Source organism: Homo sapiens, chromosome 5 (assembly GCF_000001405.40).
Source record: "Homo sapiens chromosome 5, GRCh38.p14 Primary Assembly".
Classification (NCBI taxonomy): Eukaryota; Metazoa; Chordata; class Mammalia; order Primates; family Hominidae; genus Homo; species Homo sapiens.
This window is the reverse complement of record NC_000005.10, coordinates 165,134,652-165,137,034: the sequence shown is the minus strand read 5'-3', so window position 1 is coordinate 165,137,034 and position 2,383 is coordinate 165,134,652. Positions and strand designations below refer to the sequence as shown.

The window sequence follows — 2,383 nt, the reverse complement described above, 5'->3', positions numbered from 1 at the left end:
ATAATCAAACATAAATATGATTCAGTTGCAAATAAGACGGGCTCCTATCCAAGTCTGCTAAAAAACAGACATTCAGATTTTGTCATGCCTACACAAAATGTGGAGCTAATATGGTGTAGATGGTTAGATGGTTTATTTTGTATACAAATTTGTAGATGAGAAAAAGTACTCAAGGCATGTTATGAACTGAATTGTGTTCCCTTAAATTAATATGTTGATGCTCTAACCCCCTAGGTGGCTATGTTTGAATATACAACCTTTGAAGAGGTCAATAAGAATATATGAGGTAATAAAGGTAGGGCTCTAACCCAGTATCACTAGTGTCCTTATAAGAAGAGATAGACCAGAGTAATTCGAGTACAGAGAAAAAGGCCACGTGAGGCTACAGTGAGAAGTTGGCTGTCTGCAAGCCAAGGAGAGAGGACTTGGGAGAAACCAAACCTTCAAACACCTTGATCTTCCAGCCTCCAGAACTGAGAGAAATATTTTTTGGTTTGTGAAGCCACCAAGTCTGGTATTTTGTTATGGCAGTCATTCTGACTGCTATAGAGTGTCATATTTTTCTCAATATTCCTTCCACAGTTTCTGTACGTTCCTCAGGCTATGCACGTAGATTAGCAGAAAGGACAATACTCCAAAGAGAAGACAATAGAGAAAGAATGAAGACTCTTATTAAACATAGGATTTAGAATGGTGTTCAAACTAGCAATTCAGGAATCAAAAGATGTGTAATTGAGATTAGGGGAAAAATCACATATGCTTATCTATTTGTGGTAATGGTCTAAAAATCTCATTCTCCAAAGCAGTTGAATACTAATTCTCAGGTTGAACATAATCTGATGTTTGTTTCTTGGTTTCCTCTGAACAATAAATTTGAAGGGGTAGATTAAGACTAAGCCCAACTAAGGGGAATCCTAAGAATTAAAGGGAACAAAAAAATACATGGTTCTCTTCTTTGACAGTTAATGGCAGAACATTATCATAATGTAACTTAAGACAAGGCAAGAAGAATGTTTTCTTGACCTAATACAAGAGAAATAAGGTGGTCTCAGAAGAAATAGTTGGAATTACCCTTCTCCATGGTAATTGATATTAGTTACTCTCATTGTAAACTTGAATATCAATGAGTATTTATCTACTGATAACAACCCAGCTGTTAAAACACATCAATCTCCCAGACTATTCTCTCAAAGGGCATTTGGATGAAGGAAGAAGAAAGGACCCTAGCCCAGCGTCTCCCTGCACACTGGCAAATGTCAAAACAGAAGTGACAGTAGATAAAGCAGGTGGACCCATGGTGATTTGTTTTAAGGGATGCAGTTTTTTCAAATTCAATTCCCTTCTTGATGTGTATCTGTGTTACATATGCTCTGAAGGCACTGTTGTTTGGGCATGCAGAAAGATAATTTTTGAAAACTTTCAGAAGGGAGGATGAGAGTAGGTCCTAGACAGGGACTGAAAAAACAATGGATGACTGATGGTCACAGCTAGAAAGAAGGAAAGATCAAAGACAAACAGCCCGCTGTGAGTTTTCTTTATCTGCTTGTGATTTCAAAGAAGACACTCTCAGAAGTGGAAGAAACTAAAATGGTTGTTGTTAATTGGGGGAGTACCCTGAACTGCAGTGCCACAAACCAGGAGATGAGAGCAAGAGCATTGATTTCAAAAAGCTAAACTCCACCCAGTGCCTCCGCGAAGTATTCTTACTAAAACATGAACCCACGAAAGTTTCTAGAGCTAATATCCATTAACAAGAAATATAAGGGAAAGGGAATGCAGTAAATACCACAAGGAAGCAGAGAGAAAAAAAAAACCAGAATATGAAACATTGTGGGATAAATGAAATACTGTTAACTTTAATAGATTGGCTAATGGCACTGGGGCAATAAGTTTGATTTAAAAAATTTTTTTTAGAGATATATGCTGAAATATGGGAGATTTGAATGCCACAATATCTGGAATTTATTTTAAAATACTTTAGTAAAACAAGGAAAGATAATAAATAAAGTTACAAAATGTTTAAAATGTTTGATAGATGTTCATCTGGTTTTTAACAAAGTTTTTAATAATAAAATAATGAAGCTTAGCTGACAGAGTAATATATAATGAAGTAGTCCAAAGTTTTGAAAAATCACTAAAAGGCTAAATACTTTCCAGGCCTGCCTGAGTTCTCTATTTCCTGATGGGATGTATTATCAGATCAAAAGAACATGGCAGTGGAGGTAGATTGGATTTAAGAGTAGTAATCACAGAAGCAAACCCTGGCAGTGTCCATCCAATCATTATCAAGAGGGCAGGGCACCTTCAACTTGTCCCAGTGACAAGAGGTGTGTCTATTCTGAGATAAATACAGGACACAGATATCAAACTGGTTAACCACAGG

General features: G+C 36.6%; 1 annotated feature.

Moving 5' to 3' along the window:
* Positions 1,270-1,804: an enhancer, noted in NCBI's record as "NANOG hESC enhancer chr5:164562237-164562771 (GRCh37/hg19 assembly coordinates)". NCBI's record gives its function as "activates a minimal SCP1, AML or CMV promoter by ChIP-STARR-seq in naive H9 embryonic stem cells {active_cell/tissue: H9 hESC(naive)}" and the evidence as "EXISTENCE:reporter gene assay evidence [ECO:0000049][PMID:30033119]".